This window comes from Homo sapiens, chromosome 15 (assembly GCF_000001405.40).
Source record: "Homo sapiens chromosome 15, GRCh38.p14 Primary Assembly".
Taxonomy (NCBI): domain Eukaryota; kingdom Metazoa; phylum Chordata; class Mammalia; order Primates; family Hominidae; genus Homo; species Homo sapiens.
The window spans coordinates 101,254,448-101,280,957 of record NC_000015.10 but is presented as its reverse complement, the minus strand read 5'-3'; the positions used below and the strand labels follow the sequence as shown (position 1 = coordinate 101,280,957).

At 46.9% G+C, this 26,510-nt stretch overlaps 1 protein-coding gene and 1 long non-coding RNA gene across 3 annotated transcripts, besides 4 other annotated features; both read left to right on the top strand.

Moving 5' to 3' along the window:
* Positions 3,268–3,597: a silencer, noted in NCBI's record as "silent region_6888". NCBI's record gives its function as "represses an Ori minimal core promoter by ATAC-STARR-seq in GM12878 lymphoblastoid cells {active_cell/tissue: GM12878}" and the evidence as "EXISTENCE:reporter gene assay evidence [ECO:0000049][PMID:35858748]".
* SELENOS (selenoprotein S) lies at positions 3,473–10,149 on the top strand. 2 transcript variants are annotated; one of them, NM_203472.3, is made up of 7 exons: positions 3,473–3,616; positions 4,283–4,417; positions 5,597–5,703; positions 6,277–6,366; positions 6,463–6,538; positions 8,102–8,194; positions 9,313–10,149. In NM_203472.3, the coding sequence occupies exons 1-6, from the start codon at positions 3,541–3,543 to the stop codon at positions 8,179–8,181; spliced, it is 564 nt and encodes a 187-aa protein (NP_982298.2). In that variant the 5' UTR covers positions 3,473–3,540; the 3' UTR covers positions 8,182–8,194; positions 9,313–10,149. The 2 variants fall into 2 exon arrangements, with proteins under 2 accessions (NP_982298.2, NP_060915.2); NM_018445.6 differs by lacking the exon at positions 9,313–10,149 and having other exon boundaries at positions 8,102–8,767.
* Positions 13,353–13,887: an enhancer, noted in NCBI's record as "H3K4me1 hESC enhancer chr15:101807276-101807810 (GRCh37/hg19 assembly coordinates)". NCBI's record gives its function as "activates a minimal SCP1, AML or CMV promoter by ChIP-STARR-seq in primed H9 embryonic stem cells {active_cell/tissue: H9 hESC(primed)}" and the evidence as "EXISTENCE:reporter gene assay evidence [ECO:0000049][PMID:30033119]".
* Positions 15,900–16,194: a silencer, noted in NCBI's record as "tiled region #1457; K562 Repressive non-DNase unmatched - State 22:ReprW". NCBI's record gives its function as "represses a minimal TATA promoter and a strong SV40 promoter by Sharpr-MPRA in K562 cells {active_cell/tissue: K562}" and the evidence as "EXISTENCE:reporter gene assay evidence [ECO:0000049][PMID:27701403]".
* Positions 16,770–16,829: an enhancer, noted in NCBI's record as "active region_10191". NCBI's record gives its function as "activates an Ori minimal core promoter by ATAC-STARR-seq in GM12878 lymphoblastoid cells {active_cell/tissue: GM12878}" and the evidence as "EXISTENCE:reporter gene assay evidence [ECO:0000049][PMID:35858748]".
* Positions 25,024–25,598, top strand: LOC107984727 (uncharacterized). The gene is made up of 2 exons (XR_001751746.2): positions 25,024–25,372; positions 25,478–25,598. It is a non-coding gene; the product is annotated as an uncharacterized LOC107984727 (long non-coding RNA).

The window sequence follows — 26,510 nt, the reverse complement described above, 5'->3', positions numbered from 1 at the left end:
TTTTGTGAAAAGCTTGGCACTTTATCAGTTAGCTCTTGCTGCAATAATGCTGTATAACAATCCACCCGAAAACTCAGGGTTTTGTTTGTTGTTTTTTTTTTGAGACGGAGTCTTGCTCTGTCCCCCAGGCTGGAGTGCAGTGGCGCGATCTCGGCTCACTGCAAGCTCCGCCTCCTGGGTTCACAGCATTCTCCTGCCTCAGCCTCCCAAGTAGCTGGGACTACAGGCGTCCGCCATCACGCCCGGCTAATTTTTTGTATTTTTAGTAGAGATGGGGTTTCACTGTGTTAGCCAGGATGGTGTCAATCTCCTGACCTCATGATCCTCCCGCCTCGGCCGCCCAAAGTGCTGGGATTACAGGCGTGAGCCACCACGCCTGGCCAAACTCAGGGGTTTTAATCAACAACACTATTATGTAGTTGGCTCTGCTTATCACTGTAGGTCTGGATTAACTGGGGTGGCTTGGTTTCTTTACAGGTCTCAGATAAGCCAGCTCACCCGGCAAAGGCACAAGAAATAAACACTAGGAGCTTCTTAAGGCCTACCTACACTCAAAACTGACACACTTATTTCTGCCCACTTGATATTAACCAAAGCAAGCCACCTCGCCAAGTACAAAGTCAAAGGATGATGGGGAAATATACTCCTTTGACCTTGCCATAGCAAGGATATGGCTGTGAGAAGGAGTGACAAATTAGGGCCACTCTTTCAGCCTCGGCCAATCATTTAGCCTACAACAGTCAGTGATAGGTGGCAGCCCTGGTTACTGTCCACCTTTGTCCTCTTTTTGCAAATAATACCTGAGCAATTACATTGAGCAAAGTGTTTGTTGAAATACCTTTCCAGTTCTAGACAAGCCAAGCCAGGTGAGGTTATAACACCTGATTAAAGGGACAAAGGTAACAAATTCCTGGCTAGGATGAGTAACTTCTATCAATAGGACCATAAGATCAATGTGCTAGGAACTGAAAAGCCATCATCCATGCATTCAAATAATATCTATTAGATTTTAGTGGAATATATGCATTATATGTATATATGTATACAATAGTTCACAATAGTTTACAAGGATACTTTGGTTTTCTATATGCTTAGAATGTGCATTATTTTCATGAGTTAATACTGGTTTCCATTTTATATCGCAAAGTCCTGAGTGAAAAGGATTGTTGCCTTTTTTTAATGATAGAACCTAAAATGTTACAATTTATTCCATCTTTGTGATTACAGACATTACAGGATAAGGTAGCTAAACAAGGCAAATAAAGCAAACGTTCCCTTCATTTAATCAGATGCAACATTTTGGCATTTTTATACTGTGCACGTTGACTTTAATTCATTGACATGGATTGAAAGCCGGCAACAACAAATCTTTGCAATTTAGGATCTTCTTCCATAACTAAGTTTTGTGGGTTTTTTTTCTTTTCTTTTCTTTCTTTTTTAGACAGTCTTGCTCTGTCATCCAGGCTGTGGAGTGCAGTGGTACAATCTTAGCTCACTGCAACCTCTGCCTCCCAGGTTCAAGCGATTCTCCTGCCTCAGCCTCCCTAGTAGCTGGGATTACAGGCGCCCGCCATCACACCTGGCTAATTTTTGTATTTTTAGTAGAGACAGGGTTTCACCATGTTAGCCAGGCTGGTCTTGAACTCCTGACCTCAGGTGATCCATGCACCTCGGCCTCCCAAAGTGCTGGGATTACAGGCGTGAGCCACCGTGCCTGGCCAAATTTTTTTGTAGAGATGGGATCTTGCTGTGTTGCCCAGGCTGGTCTTGAACTCCTGGCCTCAAGTGATCCTCCTGCCTCAGCCTCCTAAAGTGCAATAGGATTACAGGCAAGAGCCACCACTCCTGGCCCACTGCAACATTCTTGAAGCTCTCAAGTCTTCATCTGACACCTTGTCAAGATGGGGAACTCTTGTGTTAAACCATCCTGTTAAGTTACTGTATAAAAATAAAACTGCTCCCAAGCATTGATTGAAACTGTTTTGGTATGAGTTTCCTGAGAGAAAAGTGAGGCCCTAACCATTTTTTTCCATGAACTATGACCCCAGTACGGTATACCTAATGTCCTTCACAGCCTAACAAAATAGTTGAGGCAACCCTGCTCATCCTGTCTAGTTTATCAGTATTTAGATGTAAGGCGGATTTAAAGCTAATCTGGGACTGAGAATTGCAACTAATTCCATAGAAGTCATTCAATTTAGCACATAAATGTTCCTGCAAGATGCCAGAGCAAGTGAGAAATCATCTGTAGCAAAGCAAAGAGTGGTGATGGTTCATCACCTTTTACAACGGAAAGGCAAACATGAAGAAGGAAATTCTCCCTCCTAAAATTCCTCATTAAATCGATAAGCTATCTTCACAGCCTTTATGGATAACATCCAGAGTCCTCGGTTCATCTGAGGAGTCCATTTTCAAGGTGGCCAACAGGGAAGAAGAGCTTTCAGGCTTCTCTTTGCTATGGCTCATGAATGCCAGGTCCCCTTTATTGCTTTCTGAACACACTGCTGGGAAAGCTTGATGAGGTCAGTGCTCAAATCCCTGCAGCTGTCCCCCTTGAGGAACTTCTTGGCAAACCTGCATTGAAGAAACACTGATTGCGTTCACGCTTCATGTCATGGTTTGCCTTCCCCACACTGCTCCTGGCGACAGTGGTGACGCAGCACTCGGATGTTGTCACCTATTCATTATTTTTTCAGTTCTATTCCCAATTCCCAACCCTTCTTTTGAAACACAGCTAGGTATGTGCACTTCAAATGCTCCAGAAAAACCCAAGGTCACATTTCAAATAGGATGGTTATGGTCACCATAAAGGTGGTGACGTTTGAGTGGTGGAAGAGGGTGCGGGACGGCGTTGCAGGCAGAGGAACACAGCCAGGACACTATTATAAGTAACTCTGTGATCGTGTCTTGTGGTGATACAGTATAATTCAACACAGGTTAGAGCAGTTACTATGATCGTTCTTTCCTAAAAGGCTTTGATTTTGGAGAAAGAACCTTGAGGATCGGTGGGGACTTTCTTGGCCTGAAAGGTATCACCAGCAGCAGGAGCAGGAGGCTGCTCACATTTCGTGTCTTCACTTGGGGTGGACGTTGGCTGCAACCCTCAAATGCTGGGAGTCGTCAACCAACTGAGCCCTGTTGTCCAATGTGCCCCGGGCAAGGATGTGGGTGCAAATCCTGCTTCCGGGCGACCACTGACTTCCTTGGCTTCAGTGTCCAATTAGAAAAAAAAAAGAAAGTAGAAATTCGGTAAGAAATCCGTGAACGAGGTCCGTCCTCCACCCCCGACTCAAGCCAAGAGATAGCACAGAACGTTCCCACACGCGCTGTCCCGGCCCCGGCGAGCGTAGCCGGGATTTCTCCCCCGCCACGCCCCTCGGCCACGCCCCCCTGCGTTTGGCCCAGCGACGGGGCGGGGTCGGCCTGCGATTGGCCGGGACCACGACCGCGTCCGGGCGCGCCACGTGTGCGTAGGAGCGCACCGGAAGCGCCCGGCTGGAGGCGCGGCGGCAGGGCTGGGCGGCGGCGGCGGCGGCGGTCATGGAACGCCAAGAGGAGTCTCTGTCCGCGCGGCCGGCCCTGGAGACCGAGGGGCTGCGCTTCCTGCACACCACGGGTGAGTCGTTGCGGGGCAGCCGGGCGCGCGCCGCCACTTTTGCGACGCGCAGCCATGATGGGTGGGTCGTCCGCCGCTGCACCGGGCGCCGGAGCCTGGGAGGCCTGGGAACGGTCGGGCGTTGGCGCTTACGCGGACCTTGGGCAGCAGGCCCGGACCTTGCGCGGAGGCTTCTCGGGAGCCGCACTTCCCTGGGCGGCTCGGCTGTCCCTTGTTTGCGCAAGTCTTTTTTGCGAACCAAGCCCTTCCTGTGGTAGTTACTGGGGTCACTCGGCCGTTGGCGTTTGCCTCTGGGACCCGTCCCACACAGCCCCATACACACTCCTGACTCCCCGCGCTGTCACCCCTTTCTATGTGGCTCTGAAAGGCCTTTGCCTTCCTGATTCAGATTAGTTGCTCTTCATTCTTCAAAACCCAGTTGCTGTGCCCTCCACACTCTAACTGCCCCCGACTCCCCAGATGGTTGGGAAGTCTCACTTCTCAGTGATCCCTGAATTGTCGCACTTCTTGAGTTCGTGTTTTAACGATCTACTTAGGAGGCTTTTTCCTCAGCCTAGACCATGAAGGCTTTGAGGGCAGGAGTTACACTTTGTGTTTGTTGAGTCTTATGGAAAGGTCAACTAGTAGTGTCATTTTTAGTTTTTTGAAAACTGTTTTTCTTTTCAGTGGGCTCCCTGCTGGCCACCTATGGCTGGTACATCGTCTTCAGCTGCATCCTTCTCTACGTGGTCTTTCAGAAGCTTTCCGCCCGGCTAAGAGCCTTGAGGCAGAGGCAGCTGGACCGAGCTGCGGCTGCTGTGGGTTAGTGCCTGATAACCGAAATGAAAGCGGTGGTTTTGCACCTCCTTTATATTAAGAGTTAGTCTCTTAGTAAAAGTAAGAGGGGCCACACAGGAAGACCCTGTCTCTATTTAAAAAAAAAAAAAATAGCCGGGAGTGGCGGCACGCACCTGTAGTCCCAGCTGCTCAGGAGGCTGAGGCGGGATAATCACTTGAGTCCAGGGAGTCAAAGCTGCAGTGGGCTATGCTCGGGCCACACTACACTCCAGCCTGGGCAATTGATTGAGACCTTGTCTTTAAAAAAAAAAAAAAAAAAAAAGTAGGAAGTATATGGTTCTCGGTGGGGCGCGGTGGCTCACACCTGTAATCCCAGCACTTTGGGAAGCCGAGGCAGGAGGATGACTTGAGGTCAGGGGTTCGAGAACAGCCTGGCCAACATGGTGAAACCCTGTCTCTACTAAAAATACAAATATTAGTGGGGCGTGGTGACGGGCACCTGTAATCCCAGCTATTAGGGTGGCTGAGGCAGGAGAAATCGCTTGAACCTGGGAGCTGGAGATTGCAGTGAGCTGAGATTGTGCCACTGCACTCCAGCCTGGGCAACAGAGTGAGACTGTCTTTTCTTTCTTTTTTTTTTTTTTTTCTATGAGATGGAGTCTAGCCTTGTTGCAAAGAGCGAGACTCTATGAGTAGACGTTATGAATAGAAATGAGTTCATTTCTATTCATAATGCTATTTGGAAGGATTTTTCTTTTCTGTAGAAACAAATACTTAAGAATCTTCTGCGCTAATTAAGGGATGGATAATGATTTAGAAAACTTTATATTTCCTTGGTAGTCTTCCAGGATTCTAGTCAGCCTAGAGACTGTGGGTGTCACTGAGGTATCCAAGATGTGCTCTGTGTGGCCACTATCCCAGGCTTTATGAATCGGAATTGCTCAGGGGAACTCAGAAATTGGCATTTCTAACAGATTTCTGGTGATGTAGATATTTCGGGCTAAAATCCGTGGCTCAGCAACAGACCCCTGCCCCCTGAAGCAGTAAAATGTATGCAGAGGGGTTAGGAGTACTTATGTAAAAATATGTTGTTTCATTGTCTGATATCCATACCTCTTTATACTTTTAATAATATGGACACTCAAAAGTTTCTATTTTATATTGTACACAGTGCTTTATCTCCATTTTTTTCTGACATTTTAGAACCTGATGTTGTTGTTAAACGACAAGAAGCTTTAGCAGCTGCTCGACTGAAAATGCAAGAAGAACTAAATGCGCAAGTTGAAAAGCATAAGGAAAAACTGAAACAAGTATGAACTGGTTTCAGTTTGAATGTGTGCATAGAAATTGTCTGAGGTTTAGTGGCTAACGATGCCTGTGTCTGTGTTGTCTATAAGCTTCTAGGACCAGGTCCTATCCCATTAGATTCAATAAGCATTTCAGTTCCTACCATGTAAGTATTGGTGATATCAAGAAGAATACACGATTGTTAGGGAACACTAGATGTGTGAATATATTACCATGAAAGGTCCAGAGCACAAAAGGAGGGACAGGCTGGAGCAGGGAGCATGTGAGTGTGTGTGTGCATGTGCCTGTGTCTTCCCCATTACCAAAAATGTCCTGACAGGAGTGAGTTTCAGAAGAATGGAGTCAGTAATCTTTTTCATGAAACATTTTGCTTTCTTTAATAGTGTACAAAAACCAAAGCTGCTCTATGTGAGTTAAACTCACACTACCAGATCACAACAGTTTTATTAACTAAAGAAAACGAGGGTGAAGTTTGTTCTGAAAGACATTTAAATTAAGAATTATCAGAGTTAGCTTTGTCTTTGAGAGAAATGGCAGCTTCTGAATTCTTTCTGTAAAATGTGATTGTTTCTCAGCTTGAAGAAGAAAAAAGGAGACAGAAGATTGAAATGTGGGACAGCATGCAAGAAGGAAAAAGTTACAAAGGAAATGCAAAGAAGCCCCAGGTGACTGGAGACCTCGGCCGGCTGGCATGCGGTAGATGAAGATTGCCAAGTAGAATGTTTTAATTGCTTCTTACACTACTGTGTGTGTTCAAACAGGAGGAAGACAGTCCTGGGCCTTCCACTTCATCTGTCCTGAAACGGAAATCGGACAGAAAGCCTTTGCGGGGAGGAGGTAAGCACCACTGATGTCAAATGTTAACAGATTTTCAACACTTACAGGATATAGTTACCTTTTAGGAACAAGATTGTTTGTTTCTTTGTCCATAAATTAAGACTAATTCCTTAGGATTGTGAAGATTCAATAAAGGAAACAGATGCAAATCACCTCCTAGGTCCTCACTAAGTACTTAGAAGGATTGTACTTATAGTATTCTAACTTGATCCTTCTGCAGCCCCGTAGAGGGAGAGCTAAGTAGGGTGAGGAATTGTCTGCCAATCTTCAGATGAGTGTCAAGGAGCTGGAACACAGTGGTTTTGGTCTTTCTGGCTGGGACCACCTTGTTTCTTGCAAATAACAAGGAGTAGCAGACAGATGCTCATCCAAAGCTGCTTCCTGTGTGCAGCACTGCCCCGGGGACTCTGGATGATGCCACAGCAGTCTGTCTTCATCCCATCCCTGAGAATTTCAAATCTGGGAAGATGGGACTCACAAACGAAAATAAGCAATCCTTGGTGATTCTGGCTAAGAGTTGCAAGTTACTGCTGAGGAAGGAAAGAACAAACACACTAGAACACTGTAGGAACCAAGGCGGAAGATTTTGTATCCTCCATAGGAGGAGAGGGGCACCGCAGAGGCCCTGATGGTGTCTTTGAGGACTGAGGAAAGACTGGGGCATGGGCTCCAAGGCAGCAGGGCCACAGACTTGGCTGACCTTAAACGCTGAGCTGTAATCCCCTTTGTGTCAGAAGACTAAACCTGGCTTGCTGTAGAGAAGGTGATGCATCTGGAAAGAAAATGCTATTTTTAAATGGTCCTGCCGGAAGCTTATTTTTAGACACATAGAGGTGATATTTAGGAGAGGAATGGAAATCGTAGAAGATGGAATGCAGGGTGTGCTTGCCTGCACGGCCTCTTTCAGCATCCCCAGCATTTCTGAGCTGGGACTTTTGACTAGCCTGGCTTTACAAATAAGGAAACTGAGGCACAGTGTTTAATTGCCCAAAGATTCCACTATAAGTAAGGAGTAAAAGTAACATTTAAGTTCTGGGTGGCCCTAGAACCTTAGCACTCAACCAGGTTACCAGTTGTGCACTGACTTTGGGAAGCTCATGAGGGAGTGGGGTGGTTGGGGGTAGGGAAGGATACAGAAGACCCCGTTCTGACTGGTAGAAGTGACAAGTTTGACTCTTGATTTTTTTTAATCTGTTTTCTGTAGCGTGAACAGCCCTTATTTGAATGTATGAGTTTTAGTAAGCACTGTGATAGGAGGATTCATATACTTAAATCAGGCCCTCTTGAGAGAGTTTTTTGGTGACCCTTTTGCATGTGTTTCGGAGGTTGGGACAAAGAAGCTGAATGACTTTTTTCCCCACCAGACAATCAGTTCAAATGGCAATCACAATATAAAGGTTTTTTTTTTTTTCACATAGCTAAAAGGTTTTTTTAAATGTCCCTTAGGATCTGTATCTTTGCAGTGCTTTGCGTGTCACTCTCATAATTTTATTGTGGATATACAATGTTCCCAGATTTTCAGATTTTTATCAATACTGTTGTGCTGCTTTTCTGTCCTCCCAGGTTATAACCCGTTGTCTGGTGAAGGAGGCGGAGCTTGCTCCTGGAGACCTGGACGCAGAGGCCCGTCATCTGGCGGATGAGGCTAAGAATCTTGTTAGTGTCACTTTTGACATTAGCAAGATGAACCCTTAACCCTCGATTCAATTGCCTTACGCACGCTTTTCACAGTGACTAGCCAAGGGGAGGTGGGGTTGATTTCTGTTCCTAACTACACCTGCATATGTCAGGGCTCCAGTCAGCAAAAGGTATAGATGTTGCCTCTAGGCATGAGGTCATTGGTCACATTCTACTTGGAGACAGTGATTGCATTCATTGATTTCATGGTTAATTGCTAGTTGGTAGGTAAAGGCCTCTAGATGATTAGCAATCTTGATAAAAGAGGCCTAGTAATGTTCTTTTGAGGTTAGAAATCCTTGCTGCTAGGACAGTCTCTGTGACAGGTTGCGTTGAATGATGTCTTCCTTATCAATGGTGAGCCCACCAGTGAGGATTACTGATGTGGACAGTTGATGGGGTTTGTTTCTGTATATTTATTTTTATGTACAGAACTTTGTAAAAACGAAACTATTTAAAAAACAAGAATAACATTTTTAGCATCTTTATTCAAGGAGATTTATGGACTTCAATTTGTCTATCAAACATTAAATAGCTTTTTATTACAACCTCTAACTATTACTTATTTCTCTATTTATTATTACTCACCCAAAATAAGTCTGGCAAGTGGCAGACAGCTGCCGTGATTTTGAAAGTTGACAGACTCCTTGGGGTTCATCCACAAAATTGGGTGCTTGGAGTCGAGTTGCCGAATTACTGGGATAAAGAAACATCGTGCCTCAAGGTTCCTCATAGGCTGACCAGGTTTCTACGTGACCTCTCAGTTATTCCCTTACGCCATGACTCATCTTTTACGCTCTTGTCCAGAGGCACTATCAGCAGTTTTGGATAAAGAGCCAAACAGTAAATATTTTAGACTTTACAGGCCACATATGATCTCTGTCACATAGTCTTAGGTTTTTATATTTTTAAAGGATTGTTTTTAAAAAAGATTCTCTGCTCATGGGCTGGATTTGGGCTGAATGCTGTAGTGTGTGGACCCCGTCTAGATCATCAGAAGGAAAAACATTAACCTTCAGAATAGGGGGTAATTCGCTGCAAAAGTACTATAGAATGGTCTCATACATAAATTAGTCAACATTTGTTATCTCCTGCAGGTAGAATATTCCGTGGTTGCTTCTTGACCAAGGGAAATACAGTCTGGCTGTGAGAGACTTAAAATCTCTTGAGGAGCGCTCTGGAGAATGGCTGAAGGAGAGGAAACAGGAGCCTTGAGCAGTGTAATTACAAACAAATAGGTTGGCATAGTCTTAAGTCTTTGAGTCTAGAGAGATTTGAGTTTTGTTTTGCCTGTGGAGGCAATTGGGGGTTTCAGGTCAAAGAGAGGGTCAGTGGAAACAAGGGTGGGCCTTGTGAGGTGTGGGGAAGCCCTGGGACCCTCACTCCCCTTCCAGTGTGTAACTGGATTGGCTCCCACCAGCCCAGAAGATTTACGACGTGGGAAATGGTATACTTGGATTAAAATATTTCATCCAGATTTGTTTACATCTAGAGAGAACCCCTTGTAGGTTATAAGGAAACTTTTTAACATTCTTCCTTGAATATATTTTCTGTAGCTGAAAATGTTTGTGAAGTGGCTGTCAACTACACATCGCATGAGTAGAGGGGCTCTGGGTCGGGGTTTCATATGCAGCAGAGCAGCTCCCTTGCTGCCGTCCATCAAGAGCCCTCAACACAAGAGTTTGTTATAAATAGAAATAAACGACAAAAAGTAGAGGGGTATGTTTAAGTACACTATTAGATGTGACTGACTACCTTGAAACCTGATTTTTTTCCATGGGGAGAAACAGTGCTTGAATTCTGCATGCCCCCCTTGCATCTAGCACCTTTTGGTAGGGGTGGAAGGAGGGTGTCAGGGAGAATGATTAGGAGATAATGGAGGGGAGGGGAAACTTGCGTTGTGTAATAGCATTTGAAGAGCACTTACCACGTGGCAGGAGTGTCCATTTCTGTTTGATCCCCCTAGAATCCTATGAAACGGGTATGTTACTAACCTTGGTTTTCAGAAACTGAAGCTTAGATGGGCTTAGTAACTGGTCCACAACGCTACTCGCTGTAGTCTACTTCATCCTTGTGTTCATATTAGCCAAAGGCCTTAAGTCATCAAGGTGTGGGAAGCTTCTTGCAGCTAATGAAACAGTTATGTGGCCAGGCACAGTGGCTCACGCCTGTAATCCCACCAGCCAAGATGGGTGGATCACCTGAGGTCAGGAGTTCGAGACCAGCCTGACTAATATGGTAAAACCCTGTCTCTACTAAAAATACAAAAAATTAGCTGGGCATGATGGCATATGCCTGTAATCCCAGCTCCTTGGGAGGCTGAGGCAGGAGAATTGCTTGAACGTGGGAGGTGGAGGTGGAGGTTGTGATGAGCCAAGATCGTGCCATTGCACTCCACCCTGGGCAACAAGAGCAAAACTCCATCTCCAAAAAAAAAAAAAAAAAAAAAGTTATGTGAAGTAATAATACAGTGAAAATCACATTACAGATCTAGGGCATTAAGCATTTCAGAAAGGTGGACTGAGCTTGCCAGGGAAAGCAGGTCTTGGACCTTTCTTGAAAAAATGAGAAATTGGGGGCAGAGGTGCAAATGCCAAAAGCTGAGGCCCCTGGGGAAGAAGGGACGGCCAGAGCCATAAAAACCATGCTTCAAACCTAGGCCATGTGCTCACCTTGTCCACCAGCAGAGGCTGCTGTGGGGCTCGCGGTGTGTCCTGGCAGTTGGCAGGAGTTTGGGACAGACACTGGGAGCTGTGAAGTTTTAGATAATGTGTGACGCACCCTATCCCAATCATGGAGCAACATGAGTAAATTGTGGGGCAGAACACACAAGAGTCTTCAATTGGAATGCTTAGGAGATAGAGTTGTGCCCTTGGCTAAATGTTTGAGGAGAAAAGACTTGAACGACCACGTTTGGATCCCATCACCGCCTGGATCCCATCCTCTCCTCAGGGACTCCACTCTGCGCCCCCTTCAGATAGGTAACATGCCAAGTCTGTCTCTTCTTGGAAAGAGCAAGGCCCCGTCAAATGCGCAGCCCTGGGTGCCTCTGGGTGGGCGTTTCTCACCCTACTCCTTAGCGATGTGGAAGGTGCCCTTACTGAGTTCATCCCATTTCTCGTGCCAGTGGAATTTTGGTCTCGCTGTATTTGACTTGACAGCACATTTCCTACATGCCCCTCCTCGCAGCCCTCCCTTCTGGAACACTCTACACACTGGATCTTAGCCCCCGTGACAGTCCACACCTCTCTCCTTTGCCAGTTGTGCCATGGTCTCTAGTCTTGAAAAAGTGTTCTGTGTTCCCTAATTTCTCTTCCTGCATTTGCTGTTAAATCCATTCTGCTGAAGCTGCTCTTCAGGTCACGTGTGGCAGGGGGTGATGGGTCGCCTCGGTCCTCGCCTGAAGTTAGCATCCTTTGCGGTCCTTGAGCACTCCTGAAGAAACACCTCCCTTGGCTTCCAAAACACCGAGTTTGCCTGGCTTTCTCCTACGTTTCTGGCCACTCCTTGTTCTCTTTTGCTGCTTTTTCTCACCTTCCTGAAACCCCTGGGGTGCCCAGAGCTGTCTTTAGACCTGTTCTCTTGGCCACATTTGACACAGTGTGTCTCCCCCTTTCTCCCCTGACTAAGGGGAAGAAGTCAGGTTGCAGTGAATGCTGTGTGTGCTCGGAGCATCCAGTCTTCCTCTGGCACAACTGTCACATTTCGTTGTAATTGTGTCTTTTCTTCACTCCAAGACAAAAGGAGTGGTCTCTTTGGTGTGTGGGTGCATCCCCGGCAACTAGAACAAGCCCTGACATAAGCGCCCACCTCATGGAGTTAGAAAAGGCAAGAAGGAAACCATCACTAATGTCACGTGGCGAAAGTGGCATTGTGGATACCACATATGTGCAAACGCATCTTCTAGTGATTCTGTAGACGGGTAATCGTGGCTTATGATAAAATATCAGTGTCTCATACCCCAATTCAAATGCTCTGTTTCGAAGAACTCACAGAAAATTATGGGCTCTGGGGAACTAAAGGCTCAGAATGGGCCTGGGGGTGCCGAGGATGCTGTGGACAGTGTAAACACAGGCCCCGCCCTGAGGGCCTTGACATCTGTGGGGGAAGACGAGCACTGCATGGCCACAGAAGTAGATGACGATAGCTGATGAAGGCCCATAGATGGGAAATACACATTCCAGTAAGAAATGATGTGACTTACGAAGACCTAACTTAGGTTTATTCTGTAGCTACAGATTCCACTTCTGTGGAAGTAGGGGTTGGAAGTTGTAGGAAATAATTTAGAGATGAAACAACCTTTTCCTCTGTCTTAGCTGCCGTAATAGTACCACAGATTGGGTGGTTTATAAACACCAGGCATTTGTTTCTGGAGGCTGGAAGTCCAGGATCAGGGTGCAGGCATGGCCGGGTTCTGGTGAGGCCTTCTTCCAGGCTGCAGATGGCCAACTTTTCGTTGTGTCTTCACGTGGTGGAGAGAGCTCTGGGGCCCCCATTATAGGTGTACTAATTCCATCATGACCTAGTTAACCTCCGAAGGCACCCCCCCAATACCATCACCTTGGGGGTGAGGATTTCAAATGCTAATTTGTGGGGGGACACATACATTCAATCCATAACAACCACAAACCAGGAGACTCTAGTGTTCAGTATTAGTACAGCTCCTAACACTCCTGAGTAGCTATGTCCGTCTTGGGGTCTACGTGGTCCTTTGCAGGTTCTGAGGGACCTTCACTGGCCCCTTGCTGCCTTCAGCATCCTGAGAGGGGGTCATACAGTGCCACCAGACCAGCTTCAGGAGAGCACGTCTGCAGATGTTGATACAGGTTAAGCCCGCTTCTCTTTGAAGTAGCTATTCCAAGCCTCCACTCAGCTCACTTCAGGCTTCTCTTCATCATCACCCAAACAATGGCAAACGCTGTAATAAAAAGGGCTCATCATGAAAAAATGCAAGAGAAGTGAGCTTGCCAGGGTGACCTCTGATTTGGAAGATGGTCAGCTCAGTGTTTCCAGCATCTGGACTGCCCTGAACATAATGACTTCAAACAACCATTTATCCCGAAGATTCTGCTGGGCTGGCTCTGCACTCATGCTTGTGGTCAGCTGGCGGCTGGCAGGGCCCAGTGGCCTCCCCCACATCTGCCCGCTGGCTGGCGCTAAGCTGGGCGACAGGCGACTGGCCCATGTGTTTCTGCATCTGCGGCTAACCCGGATTTGTTCATTTCCAAGGACTGTGTGCCCAAGTTTTTCAAGCTGCTGCTTGCTCCACACTGCTACCTTCCCACGGGTCAAAGCAATTCATAAGGCCAGTCCCAACGCAAAGGCTGGAGGAAGGCACAGCCTCTCGGTGGGAGGAGCTGTCGAGTCACATTGCAAAGGCGTAGATGCAGGGAGGGGAAGAAACTGGCCATTTGCAGTAGAAGGGAGTCTTCCGGGTCACACAGCCTTAGTATACATCTTTGCGTCTGTGAAACTTCTCCCCATCTGGATCAAAACTGCCCCAACTTGATCTTTGAGGATCATCCCCAAAATTTATAAGCAAGAGAGTTACCCGGCAAATGTGAAGACTCCTGTTCTGACCAATACACTCCACCTGAATCCCAAAAGAGCCTAGGACATGGCCTGTATCAGCCGGAAATGGCATCTCAAATTGGCTGGCTGAGGAGCGTTCAGTAAACGAGCTGTTTGCCAGGGTGCAGACAGGGTTAGGCATGATACAATCCGGGTGGCTAGCAACATCGGGGAACCTTTAATGCCCCCAAACCTGAGAGCAGTTACCAGGACCTGGGGGGAGGGCCGCCCGACAGAGACCAGCCTTCAATAGAGACGCCAGCTCTCAGTGACCCAGTGAGAAGGACCACGATAAATGACCTTAGTCTCCTCCCACCCACCAGTCTTTCTGCCTGTGCCTCCCATTGGCTGAGCCCAGCTGAAGGCATGAGCCTCTGGGGATGGCATTAATATCTCTTTTTGTTGCTTTTTTTGGTTTTTTTTTTTTTGAGATGGAGTCTCACTCTGTGACCCAAGCTGAGTGCAGTGGCGCGGTCTCGGCTCACTGCAACCTCCGCCTCCTGGGTTCAAGCCACTCTCCTGCCTCAGCCTCTTGAGTACCTGGGATTACAGGCACACACCACCACGCCCGGCTAATTTTTGTATTTTTAGTAGAGACAGGGTTTCACCTTCTTGGCCAGGGCGGTCTCAAACTTCTGACCTCAGTGATCCTCCCGCCTCGGCCTCCCAAAGTGCTGGGATTACAGGCATGAGCCACTGCGCCCGGCTTTAATATCTGCTAAGCTCATTAACCGATGCCTGCACTCAAGGTGACTGTTAGGGGTTGAGTTGTGTCCCCCAAAATGTGCTGAGGTCCTGCCCCCAGTATCTGTGAATATGCCCTTATTTGGAAATAGAATCTCAGCAGATGTAACCCAGTTAAGATGAGATCTGCGCAGAGGGTGGGCCCTGAGCCAATGTGATTACTGTATCATTGGCTAGGGCTGCCGTAACAAAATGCCACAGACTGGGTGGCTTCAACCACAGACGTTTATTCCCTCACAGTTCTGGAGGCTGGAAGTTGGAGGAGGTGCTGCAGGACTCTCCTCCAAGGCCTCAATTCTTGGCTTGCAGATGGCCACCCTCCTGCTGCCTGGTCACAGGCTCTTTTCTTTGTCACAGTTACCCCTCCTGCCTCTCTGTGTCCTAATCTCTTCTTACAAGTACATCGGTCATACCAGACTAGGGCCCACTCTGATGGCCTCTTCTTAATTACTTCTTTAAAGACTGTCACCAAATATAGTCACATTCTGGAGTACTGAGGGTTAAGGCTCCAACATATAAATTTTAGGGGGGACAATTCAGCTCGTAACAATTGGTGTCCTTAGAAGAGAAGAGGCCGGGCGTGGTGGCTCAAGCCTGTCATCCCAGCACTTTGGGAGGCCGACGTGGGCAGATCACTTGAAGTCAGGAGTTCAAGACCAGCCTGGCCAACATGGCGAGACCCCATCTCTACTAAAAATACAAAAATTAGTCGGACATGGTGGCGTGCACCTGTAATCCCAGCCTCCCCACTGGGAAGCTGAGGCAGGAGAATCGCTTGAACCCAGGAGGCAGAGGTTGCAGTGAGCCGAGATCCCACCACTGCACTCTGTTCAGCCTGGGTGACAAAACGAGACTCTAAATAAATAAATCAAAGAGACACAGACACTGAAAGAAGGTGACCACGTGAAGCCCACGGCAGAGACTGGAGTGACGCAGCCACAGCCGCAAGCCAAGGAAAGCCTGGGGCCCCCAGAAGCTGAAAGAAGCAAGGAAGGATTCTCCCGTCAAGGCCAGGAGGGAGCATGGCCCTGCTGACACCTTAAGTTTGGCCTCAGAAACTGTGAGAGAAGCAATGCCTGTAATTATAAGCCACCCAGTTTGTGGTCATTTGTTCTAACAGCCACAGGAAATGAAAACAGTGGCCTTTGGCAAGCACAGTTCAACTCTCGGAATTTCCCTCGCATGTGACGAGATATGGTCCCAAGGCTCAGGGCACACGCAAGTTGCATGGATGTACCACGTGTAGCTTGCTCAGCACCCCTCCCCAACAATGCTCCCCAGAGATGGTCCAGAGGACATTCCTTCATCAGAGCATAAAGCAAGTGCTGGTGGGAGAACCAGGACTCCTGAGCAGCATGAGAGGAAGGCCGGCTGGAGGGCAGTGGGATTGCGCCGTGCTGGATGAGGTCTGTTTGCCCCTCCACATCTACTCTCCACCCGGTTCCTGCCCCAGGAGGCTGACCTGTATGCATGCAGGGAGCCCTTCTATGCAGTCCGTTCAGGCCCTCTCCTGGGGTGCTGTCCCTAGGCCACCTTGACTGCAGGCACAGGTAACTTTCTCAATGGATACGAACACCACCCCAAGTGCTCCGGCCAGCACAGTAAACCCTGAATTCCTTTTCCTGAAGTTGGACTCCAGCAAGCCTTAGGATCCATTCTCCTCCTCCTGACACCCTTAGGATCCATTCTCCTCCTCCTGACACCCTTGGAGTCCGTGGCCATGATTCTTCCCAGACTCCTGCCACAGGGATGGATGAAGTCATACTACATTTTCAGTGATGGCTGTGTACAGTGAGCCTTGTACTTTTCGATCTGGGATTTTCTGGAATCAGACTCTCCATTGCCTGGAGGTTGTGAGGGGTGATGAGAGTGAAGCCTGCAGGATCAGCAGCAGCTGGAGAGACAACTGTCCCAGTACCTTAAGTGAAAGCTGTTTCTGCAGGAGGAAGCAGGCAGGGGGCTGAGATGAAGGGATTGGGAGGCTCAGCATTCTCAATTCTCAGCCTCCTCTGTGTCGACCCATATTTCAGGGTCCCGCTTCTTTCCCATCAGTGCCCTTAGCATTAGGGACCTGACAGGGGTCAGCATTTCATTGGCAATGCTGCTCTGCAGACCTTAAAGCCAGGCCTGGGCTGGGCTTCAGCCATTTCTCTCCTACAACTACAGGGGATGGGGGAATTCCAGCAGGGCTAGAACTCACTGCATTCACTTCCTGTGGCTGCTGGAACAAATGACCACAGACTGGGCAGCTTCTAACTACAGGCATTGCTTCTCCCAGTTTCTGAGGCCAAACTTAAGGTGTCGGCAGGGCCATGCTCCCTCCTGGCCTCGACGGGAGGATCCTTCCTTGCCTCTTTCAGCTTCTGGTGGCCCCAGGCTTTCCTTGGCTTATGGCTGCATCACTCATCTCTGCCATGGGCTTCACGTGATCACCTTTCAGTGTCTGTGTCTCTTCTCTTATTTTCTATTTATTTATTTACTTATTTGAGACAGAGTTTCGCTCTGTCACCCAGGCCAGAGTGCAATGGTGGGTTCTCAGCTCACTACAACCTCTGTCTCCTGGGTACAAGCGATTCTCCTGCCTCAGCCTCCCAGTTGGGAGGCTGGGACTATAGGCACATGCCACCACGTCCAGCTGATTTTTGTATTTTTAGTAGAGACAGGGTCTCACCATGTTGGCTCGGCTGGTCTTGAACTCGCGACCTCAATTTTCATCTGTGTTCTGCATTGGATCCTAAGTAACTTTAACTTGTCCTTTTCCCTGTACACACTCAAGGCCCATCCAAAGCAGCCAGGTGACCCCACCTTCTTCATAGTCATCCTCGTTGCCATTGTGCCTGCTTCACAGCCATTTGGCCTCCACTGCCTCGCTCTGCTCTCGTCCACTTTCCTCGGCCATGGCCATGGGTACTTTGAATGCCCATGATGCCCCTGCCTGCCATTGAGTAAGTACCAGAGTGCTGTTGCTCATTCCTTAAATAGCTGAGCGATCCTCTCCTCAGTCCCATTTTGAGAGTATGTCTCCCAAGACCACATTGTTAGTCATTAGGAAAATGCAAATTAAAAACCACAATGAGATACCACTACACACTTATTGGAAAGGCTAGGCTGGGCGCAGTGGTGGCTCACGCCTGTAATCCCAGCACTTTGGGATGCTGAGGTTGGCGGATCACTTGAGGTCAGGAGTTTGAGACCAGCCTGTCCAACATGGCAAAACCCCATCTCTACTAAAAAGAAAAAAAAAATTAGCTGGGTGTGGTGGTGCCCACCTGTAATCCACTTTGGAGGCTGAGGCATGAGAATTGCTTGAACCGGAGAGGTGGAGGTTGCAGTGAGCTGAGATCATGCCACTGACTCCAGCCTGAATGACAGAGTGACACTCTGCCAAAAAAAAAAGAGCTAAAATTAGAAAGACTATTCCAAATGTTAATGAGGATGTGGATGAACTGGAACACACACACTCCTGGTAGCAACAGAAAATGGAAAACAGTTTGGCAGTACCATAAAAAGTGACATTACACCTACCATATGATCCAGCCATTCCATCCATAAATACCTAAGGGAAATAAAAGCATCTGTCCATACCAAGACTTGCACAGGAATGTTCCCAGCTACTTTACATGTAGTAGCCCAATGAATGGATGGCTAAATCGTGGTATGTTCATAGAAAGGAACGCTATTCAGCAACCAAATGGAATGAACTATTGATGCATGCCACGTGGATGGATTTCAAAATAGTTACACCATGTGAAAGAAGCCAGGCCAAAACAACAACAAAAAACCACTACATACCATATGATTCCATTTCTACAAAAATCTAGAAAACGCTCATTAATCTATAGTGATGGAGCAGATCAGTGGTTGCCTGAGCTGGAGGTGGAGGTGGGGAACAGGGAGGGAAGGAGGAAAAGGTGGTTCAAGAAAACTTTTCAGGGTAATAGACAAGTCTGCTGTCTTGGTGGTGATGGTGTCTGTGATACTGTGAAACATATATTTGGTTTTCAACTCTGTTTGCTGGGATACAACTCCTAAAATCCTCAGACTCTTCAAGTGATGTCCTCTCCTACACTAATGAGTTGACTGGTGGCTGGTAGCTCCCTAGGAGCTTCGGGATGGGGCTGGTACCGGAAAGACCAAGGCAGGATTAGAGGGTTGGGACTTTCAGCCCCATTCCCCAACCTCAGGGAGGGGAGAGGGGCTGAAGGTTGAGTTGATCACCAATGGCCAGTGATGTAGTCAATCATACCTATGTAATGAAGCTCCCATAAAAACCCAAGAGGACTGGATGTGGGGAGATTTCAGACAGCTGAACATTTGGAGGCTTACAAGGAACTGAACAACACCTCATCCATGTGCCAGGAGGGTAGTGCATCCCAACTCCACCAGGACAGAGGCTCCTGTCCTCAGGACCCTTCCAGACCTCTCCCTGTGTCTCTCTTTATCTGGCTGTTTATCTGTGTCCTTCAAAATATCCTTTGTAATGAACTGGTAAACATAAACGTTTCCCTGAGTACTGTGAGCCCCTCTAGCAAATTCACTGAACCAAAGAGGGGTTGTGGGAACCCCAGTTCATAGTCACCAGGTCCAAAGGCCCAGACTTATACGTGCCTGAGTGTGGACAGGAGCCATCTTGGGCACTGAGCCCTCAACCTGTATCCGACGCTATCTCCAGGTAGATAGTGTCAGAATTGAATTGGAGGACACCTAGCTGATGTTGGCTGCAGAATTGATTGGTTGCTTCCTGGTGGGGAAAACACAACCCCCAACACGTTTGATCACAGAAGCCTTCTGTGTTGATTGTTATGGTGTGAAAGCAGAGGAAAAACACAGATGAGTTGGTTTTTTCACACATGGTGTCACAGGTGTATATGTCAACACTTAAATTGTACATTTTACACATGTGCAGTTTATCGTATATCAATTATACGTCAATAAAACTGTTTTTTAAAAATCCTTGGCCAGGCACAGTGGCTCACGCCTGTAATCCCAAAACTTTGGGAGGCCGAGGTGGGTGGATCACCTGAGGTCAGGAGTTCGAGACCAGCCTGGCCAACATGGCGAAACCCCATTTCTACTAAAGGTACAAAAATTAGCTGGGCATGGTGGCGGGCGCCTGTAGTCCCAGCTACTCAGGAGGCTGAAACAGGAGAATCCCTTGAACCCTGGAGGAGGAGGTTGCAGTGAGCCAAGATCGCGCCACTGCACTCCAGCCTGGGTGACAGAGGGAGACTCCGTCTCAAAAAAAAAAAAAACAAAAAAAAAATCCTCTCTGTTCAAATAAGTGGCAAAGTTTCTGTACCCTCGTGACACAGGTAGTTCTGGTTCAGGGTCAGAGCTCCCTGTGGGATCTTGGAGTCTCTGTGAGCTTTGCTTCTTTGACATCATAAAAGTTGACCAAAAGTGAAGCAGAGGTGGTTTGGCCTGGCATATGTTTCAGGCAAGCATCATGGGCAGTTCCAGTGCCCTAGCTGAAGTGACACAGCTTCTCACCCTTGTTTCTGATGTTTGCTGTCTCATAGGTGAAGCAGTTGGCCTCACTACTACTAAATACTTTAAAATTACGTATACTTTTCAGTGGCATAAATGTTCATTTCTGAGTTAACAAATGCTAAGTGGCATACACGTTTTTTTTAACCAAGTAAAACATTGACTCAAAAATTTCCCATCTCTACAAAACATTTTGCCGGGTGTGGTGGCTTACGCCTGTAATCTCAGCACTTTGGAAGGCTGAGGCGGGTCGATCACGAGGTCAGGAGTTCGAGACCAGCCTGGCCAATATGGTGAAACCCCATCTCTACTAAAAATACAAAACTTAGCTAGGCGTGGTGGCGTGTGCCCGTAGTCCCAGCTGCTCGGGCGGCTGAGGCAGAAGAATCGCTTGAACCCAGAAGGCAGAGGTTGCAGTGAGCTGAGATGGCGTCACTGCACTCAGGCCTGGGTGACAGAGCGAGACTCCATCTCAAAACAAAAACAAAACCCCAAGTAATCCAATTAAAAAATGGACAAAAGATCTGAATAGACACTTCTCAAAAGAGGACATACAAATGGCCAACAGGTATTTGAAAAAATACTCAGCATCACTCATCATCAGAGAATTGCAAAGCAAAAGCACAACGAGATATCACTTCAACTTCACCCCAGTTAACATGGCTTTTATCAAAAAGACAAAAAATAACAGATGCTGGCAAGGAGGCAGAGAAAAGAGAACTCGTACGCTGTTGTATAAATTAGTACAGCTATTATGGAGAACAGTATGGTGGTTCCTTTAAAAACTACAAGTAGAACTACCCTACGATCCAGCAGTCCCACTGCTGGGTATATACCCAAAAGAAAGGAAATCAATATATCAAAGATATGTCTTCAATATCCCACACTTATTGAAGCACTATTTACAACAGCTAAGATATGGAATCAAAAGTGTCCATCTATGAAGCTGGGAGCAGTGGCTCACGCCTGTAATCCCAGCAGTTTGGGAGGCCAAGGTGGGCGGATCACTTGAGGTCAGGAGTTTCAAACCAGCCTGGCCAACATGGTGAAATCCAGTCTCTACTAAAAACACAAAAATTAGCCAGGTGTAGTGGTGGGTGCCTGTAATCCCAGCTACTCAGGAGGCTGAGGCACGAGAATCACTTGAACCTGGGAGGCAGAGGTTGCAGTGAGCCGAAATTGTGCCACTGCACTCCAGCCTGGGTGACAGAGTGAGACTCTGTCTCCCCCCCAAAAAAAAAGAAAAAGAAAAAGAAAAAGTGCCCATCAATGGATGAATGGATTTTAAAATGTGGTACATATTCACAATGGAATATTACACAGCCATAAAAAGAATAAAATCTTGTCATTTGCAATAACATAAATGGAACTACTAAGGACATGTTAAGTGAAATAAGCCAGGCACAGAAAGACAAATATTGCACTCATATGTGAGACCATTTTTCTCATGGAGATAGAGAATAGAACGGTGATTACCAGGGATTATAAAGAGGGAATGATTAATGGGTACAAAAGTAGAGATAGATTAGAAGGAATATGATCTAGTGTTCAGTAGCACAATAGGGTGATTTAGTTAATAATTTATTGTGTATTTCAAAGTAACTAGAAGAGTAGAATTGGAATGTTCCTAACACAAAGAAATGATACATGTTTGAAGTGACCAGTTACCCTGATTTGATCATTACACATTGTAGGTTTGTATCAAATTATCACATGTACCCATAAATATATATGACTATTACATATCCACAAAAATTTTCAAAATACAGAAAAAAAAGTTTGCAGTTTTAGGAGAATTGCAAAGAAAACAGAAGTCTCAAAGAGGTCAGCAGCCCCTCATGGGGAGGAAGAGGGGCTCATTCCCTTTGCATTGGTGTTGGGGGGCTAATGAAAGCCCAGTGATGTAAACAACCTCTCTGACCTTTAACCCTGGCCCCTCCTCCCACTGCCCCAGATTCTATGCCCACCAGCCCCCATGGGACAAGATTTGCCGGGCTGAGGGAAGGCACTCTGATGACCTTTTGCATTGTGAGCATGTTTGATGCTGTGGGAGGCAGTGTGCCCAAGAGCACCCCAGACAACTCCGGATTTTGTACAGCCACATAGTGCTTATTTGGCTCAGACTTCGGCAGCAAGGACCTGCGGACAAGCTGTCCTGGGTGAGCTCCTCTGCAGCTTGAGATACCCATGCAGATGCAGGAAGACAAAAGCTTCTCAGCTAGCATCTACAGCCATGCGCAGTAACTTACGCTGGCTGACAGTTTGCATCTGTTGGGAGATAACTGACCCATTTCTCACATGAAAGCAGAGACTGTGGCTCTCAAACCACTCTGGGTATCAGAATCATCTTGGGTGCTTGCTAAACCTACCTACTTCCCTCAGAGTTTAGGGGGAGTTTCCAGCCGACAGCTTTTAATTCAACTTCTCTCATGTTACAGTGTCACCAGCTGGAGAACCACAAATCCAGAACCAGGGTATCACCTTGGAAAATGCTGGAATAGGCGATAATTAGAAGTAGGTTATTATTAACCATAAAGTAAAATGTCTGACCATTGTTCTTTAAGTCCAAGGTTAAACAGAAATCCTCACTTCGCAGGAATTAGCTGTGTACCACAAGAGGGTGCCATTGTCGCAAAGTTGTGGCACTGCCCTTCCAGCCCTTTGTTATATTCAATACGCTATCCAAGGAAATTTTGAAAATTATTTTTCTATGTTAAAAGGCTAAAAAAAGACATGACACAAGGCTCTAATATTATGGAAGGTCCGAGAATAAAGTACAAGGAGGAACACATATAAAACAAGGGAAATAAGGCTGGGTGCCGTGGCTCACGAACCTGTAATCCCAACACTCCAGGAGGCCAAGGCAGGAAGATCACTTGACCAGCCTGGGAAACAGAGCGAGACCCCATCTCAAAAAAAAAAAAAAAAAAAAGTTAGGCCTGTAGTCCTAGCTACTTGGGAGGCTGAGGTGAGAGGTTGGCTTGAGCCTGGGAGGTCAAGGTTGCCCTGAGCCAGGATGACTCCATTGCACTCCAGCCTGGGTGACAGAGACCCTGTCTTTAAAAAAAAATCATGGCCGGGCGCAGTGGCTCACACCTGTAATCCCAGCACTTTGGGAGGCCAAGGCAGGTGGATCACCTCAGGTCAGGAGTTCAAGACCAGCCTGGCCAACATGATGAAAACCCGTCTCTACTAAAAATACAAAATTAGGCGGGCATGGTGGCAGGCACCTATAATCCCAGCTACTTGGGAGGCTGAAGCAGGAGAATCACTTGAACCCAAGAGGCGGAGGTTACAGTGAGCCAAGATCACGCCTTTGCACTCCAGCCTGGGCAACAAGAACAAAACTTAGTCTAAAAACCACAAAAAGGGCCAGGCACGGTGGCTCCCGCCTGTGATCCCAGCACTTTGGGAGGCAAACATGGGCAGATCATGAGGTCAAGAGATTGAGGCCATTCTGGCCAATATGGTGAAACCCTGTCTCTACTAAAAATACAAAAATTAGCTGGGCGTGGTGGTGCACATCTGTGGTCCCAGCTACTGGGGAGGCTGAGGCAGGAGACTCGCTTGAACTGGGAAGCGGAGGTTGCAGTAAACTGAGATCGCGCCACTGCACTCCAGTCTGGAGACAGAGCGAGACTCTGTCTCAAAGAAAAAAGAATATGTGATATATACATAAATATATATATATATATCACATATACTATATATATATATAAATTATATATATATATACACATCAGTGATATCAATGATATTTATCAGTGCCCAATTGGGAAATCTTGCCCACACACTTCAACTGCCCTCATTTTCTCCACCCCCCATTAGGCCATCACTTTTATTTCTTGTGCATCCCTCTAGTGTTTTGTTATAAAAACACTAGCAAACTTCTTATTCTTTCTGCTTTCTGTTTTGTGCCATTTCAGTAGAGAGAGCGCCTCCTTGCTGTGGTTTACAGCTGCACAATAGTTCATTCTCTGATGGGTGCGCCTTTGTGTATTTATCCATTCCCCTATACATGAACACTGGGGTCTGATCTTTTACTATCACAAACAGTGTCGCAGAGAATAACCTCGTTCAAGTGTCATTTTGTACTGGTATGGCTGGAGGACAAATCTCAGAAGCAGGACTGTGGGGTCGAAAGCAAATGCACTTGTAATGTGTAATGTTGACAGTGAGCCACGATCACTCCACCGCACTCCAGCCTGGGTGACAAAGTGAGACCCTGTCTTTAAAAAAATGGAAATAAAAATTCACACTTATATTCAAACAAAACCGCCCTCCCAGTGGGTTTGTATGACTTTGCTCTCCCGCAAGCATGTTGGGAAAGCCTCTATTTCCACAGACTCCTCCGAGTGAATATACATACGGTGATTATTTTGAGTTCCTAGAGAGGCCTTAATTGCCAACTTTGGATAACAACATTTATCACCCATGAGGTGTGCATTAAGAGTGTTTATGACCCTAGCATGGGCTTGATAGCATAACTGGGTGTGAGAAGGATCAATGACCTGGGGCCATTTAGCCATGAGTATTATGGTGACAGTGTTTTCTCTTGCATTGTACTTTCAGGTGTTTGTAGATCCCTATTTCTGCTGCCTCAATTTGTAGCTTAAACCGTCTTCTGCAGCGTGAATGTTTTTCCCAGTTTTACGTTTCATTAGGCCTCCAGTGGGAATCGAATCTGAGCTGCACATCTGGCCCCAGCTGCACTGAGCCCTCAGGTGGCCATGCTGCTGCCCAGCTGTCCAGTGCCTGGGTTCCTACAGGGAGTTCCCTCCTGTGGATAGGAGCTTTGTCTTTGTGCAAACTTCCCAGCTGTGGAAACTCTGGCACCGCTTTAAAGATCAATGCATTTCTTGGCAAGGGATGGGAAAGGCAAACTCCTCTCCACAAGGATTAAGTCTTAACACCAGAAGCCAACTGTCCTCAGCCTCTGCAGTGAGGTTGTCTCCTAAAGAACATTCAGGCTGGTTCCCAGTAGTGCCTGTGCTGGCGGCACCCAGCGTTTTCTAGTTAGGAAGATCACATCCCATCTGGCTGGTCCACATGGTTATACTGAACTTAAATCTCTTTTGTGTCTCTATCGTACACATGAAAGCTCACACACACACACACACACACACACACACACACAGTGTGAGAAGCACTCACACTGACTCAGCGTCTGATGGAAACGGTGTACACAGCTGATAAGCACTGAAGGACTTTGCAGAACACCCAGGGCTGGAATAGGCCAGTGTGTGAAACCAGAACGTGAGCCCTGCTCACTTGCCCTTTCCTGCATCTGACTGGAAATGCTACAAACAGAAGGAAATAGTGAGCGAAATTAACAACCTCATGAGGATCTTGCTTGTAAGTTTAATAGCAGCATTCATAATGAAGCAGTGTTTTATTGGGTTAACAGAGGTTAAGTGGCAATATTAGTAAAGTGGTCATTATAGATTTTCTTCTTTGCAGGCAGTGAACAGAACCTTCTGAAAGGATGGATGATTATAACTCCTCAGCATTCACTGTTTCTTAAAACAGGCCTTTCTGAAAGTTTTTTTTCTTTAATAAAAATTACCACTTTTTCCAAGGACCCCTGTTTGAGGCGTGAGTGGAGAGGCTTCATCTTTAAAGAAGCTCTAACAGGGAACTCTGTCGGTCGTTTGAGGCTTGCTGCCAACAAACAATTGAGGTATTTACCAAGGGTTTCCAAGAAATTGCTGCAAATTATATGAAATGTTATACTGGTAACAGACGTTCAATGTATTAGCAACAGAAAAGAAATGTGAAGTGTGTGGGAACAAAGTTGCCATCTGTGAGAAAATGCTCAGTAAGGTAGGTGGCGATGAACTTTAATAATGTGTCATAAAGAGTCACACTCATGAACACAGAAGGGAAGTTAAGTGATCTGGGATTTTTGAACACATTTCTGAATACTGGTCTGGAATCACTATGGAGGACCGTTTAACGTGATCCAGCAGAAAGACTCATTTGGAGACAGAGCCGGACTCCCGGAGCCCCTCCAGGTGGAACTCACTCCACGCAGAGCTCAGACTCGGTCCCACACTCCTGATCCCTGATCCATCACAGCCCACCTCTTGGGCCACTCCTGTGCCATTGGGACTTTCATGGAATAACTACAGTTAAGGGCTTCCTTACAAGTGTTCCTGGTAACAGTTAATACCTCCCCTTCTTTTATGATGAGAAAAATGGTCAATGATTCCCTCAACAGAGAAGGCCAGTAGCACAGTGAAATCAAGAAGCCCGGAACATGAAAAGTCTTTCCTCAGCTCCCTGCAGTGAAATCCCTATAAATGCGAATCACCCTGCCTACTCCTTACCTTTAAAAATTACTTAGGGTGAGGGGGCTTTAGGATGAGGACAGCCTTGGCCTCCAGGGGGCTGTGGGGAAGGACGCATGTGTGTGCATTGGGGGCAGATGTTCCAGACCCTCGTTGTCCTCCCTGGCTCCTTGCTGGTATTGACTAGTGGGGCTGGGCATGGG

Excerpts from the sequence above, each read along its gene's own strand:
- SELENOS (NM_203472.3), top strand. The coding sequence starts at position 3,541 with ATGGAACGCCAAGAGGAGTCTCTGTCCGCGCGGCCGGCCCTGGAGACC. Across the intron at positions 3,617-4,282 it reads GCGCTTCCTGCACACCACGG|TGGGCTCCCTGCTGGCCACC; the intron begins GTGAGTCGTTGC and ends TTTTCTTTTCAG. Across the intron at positions 4,418-5,596 it reads CCGAGCTGCGGCTGCTGTGG|AACCTGATGTTGTTGTTAAA; the intron begins GTTAGTGCCTGA and ends CTGACATTTTAG.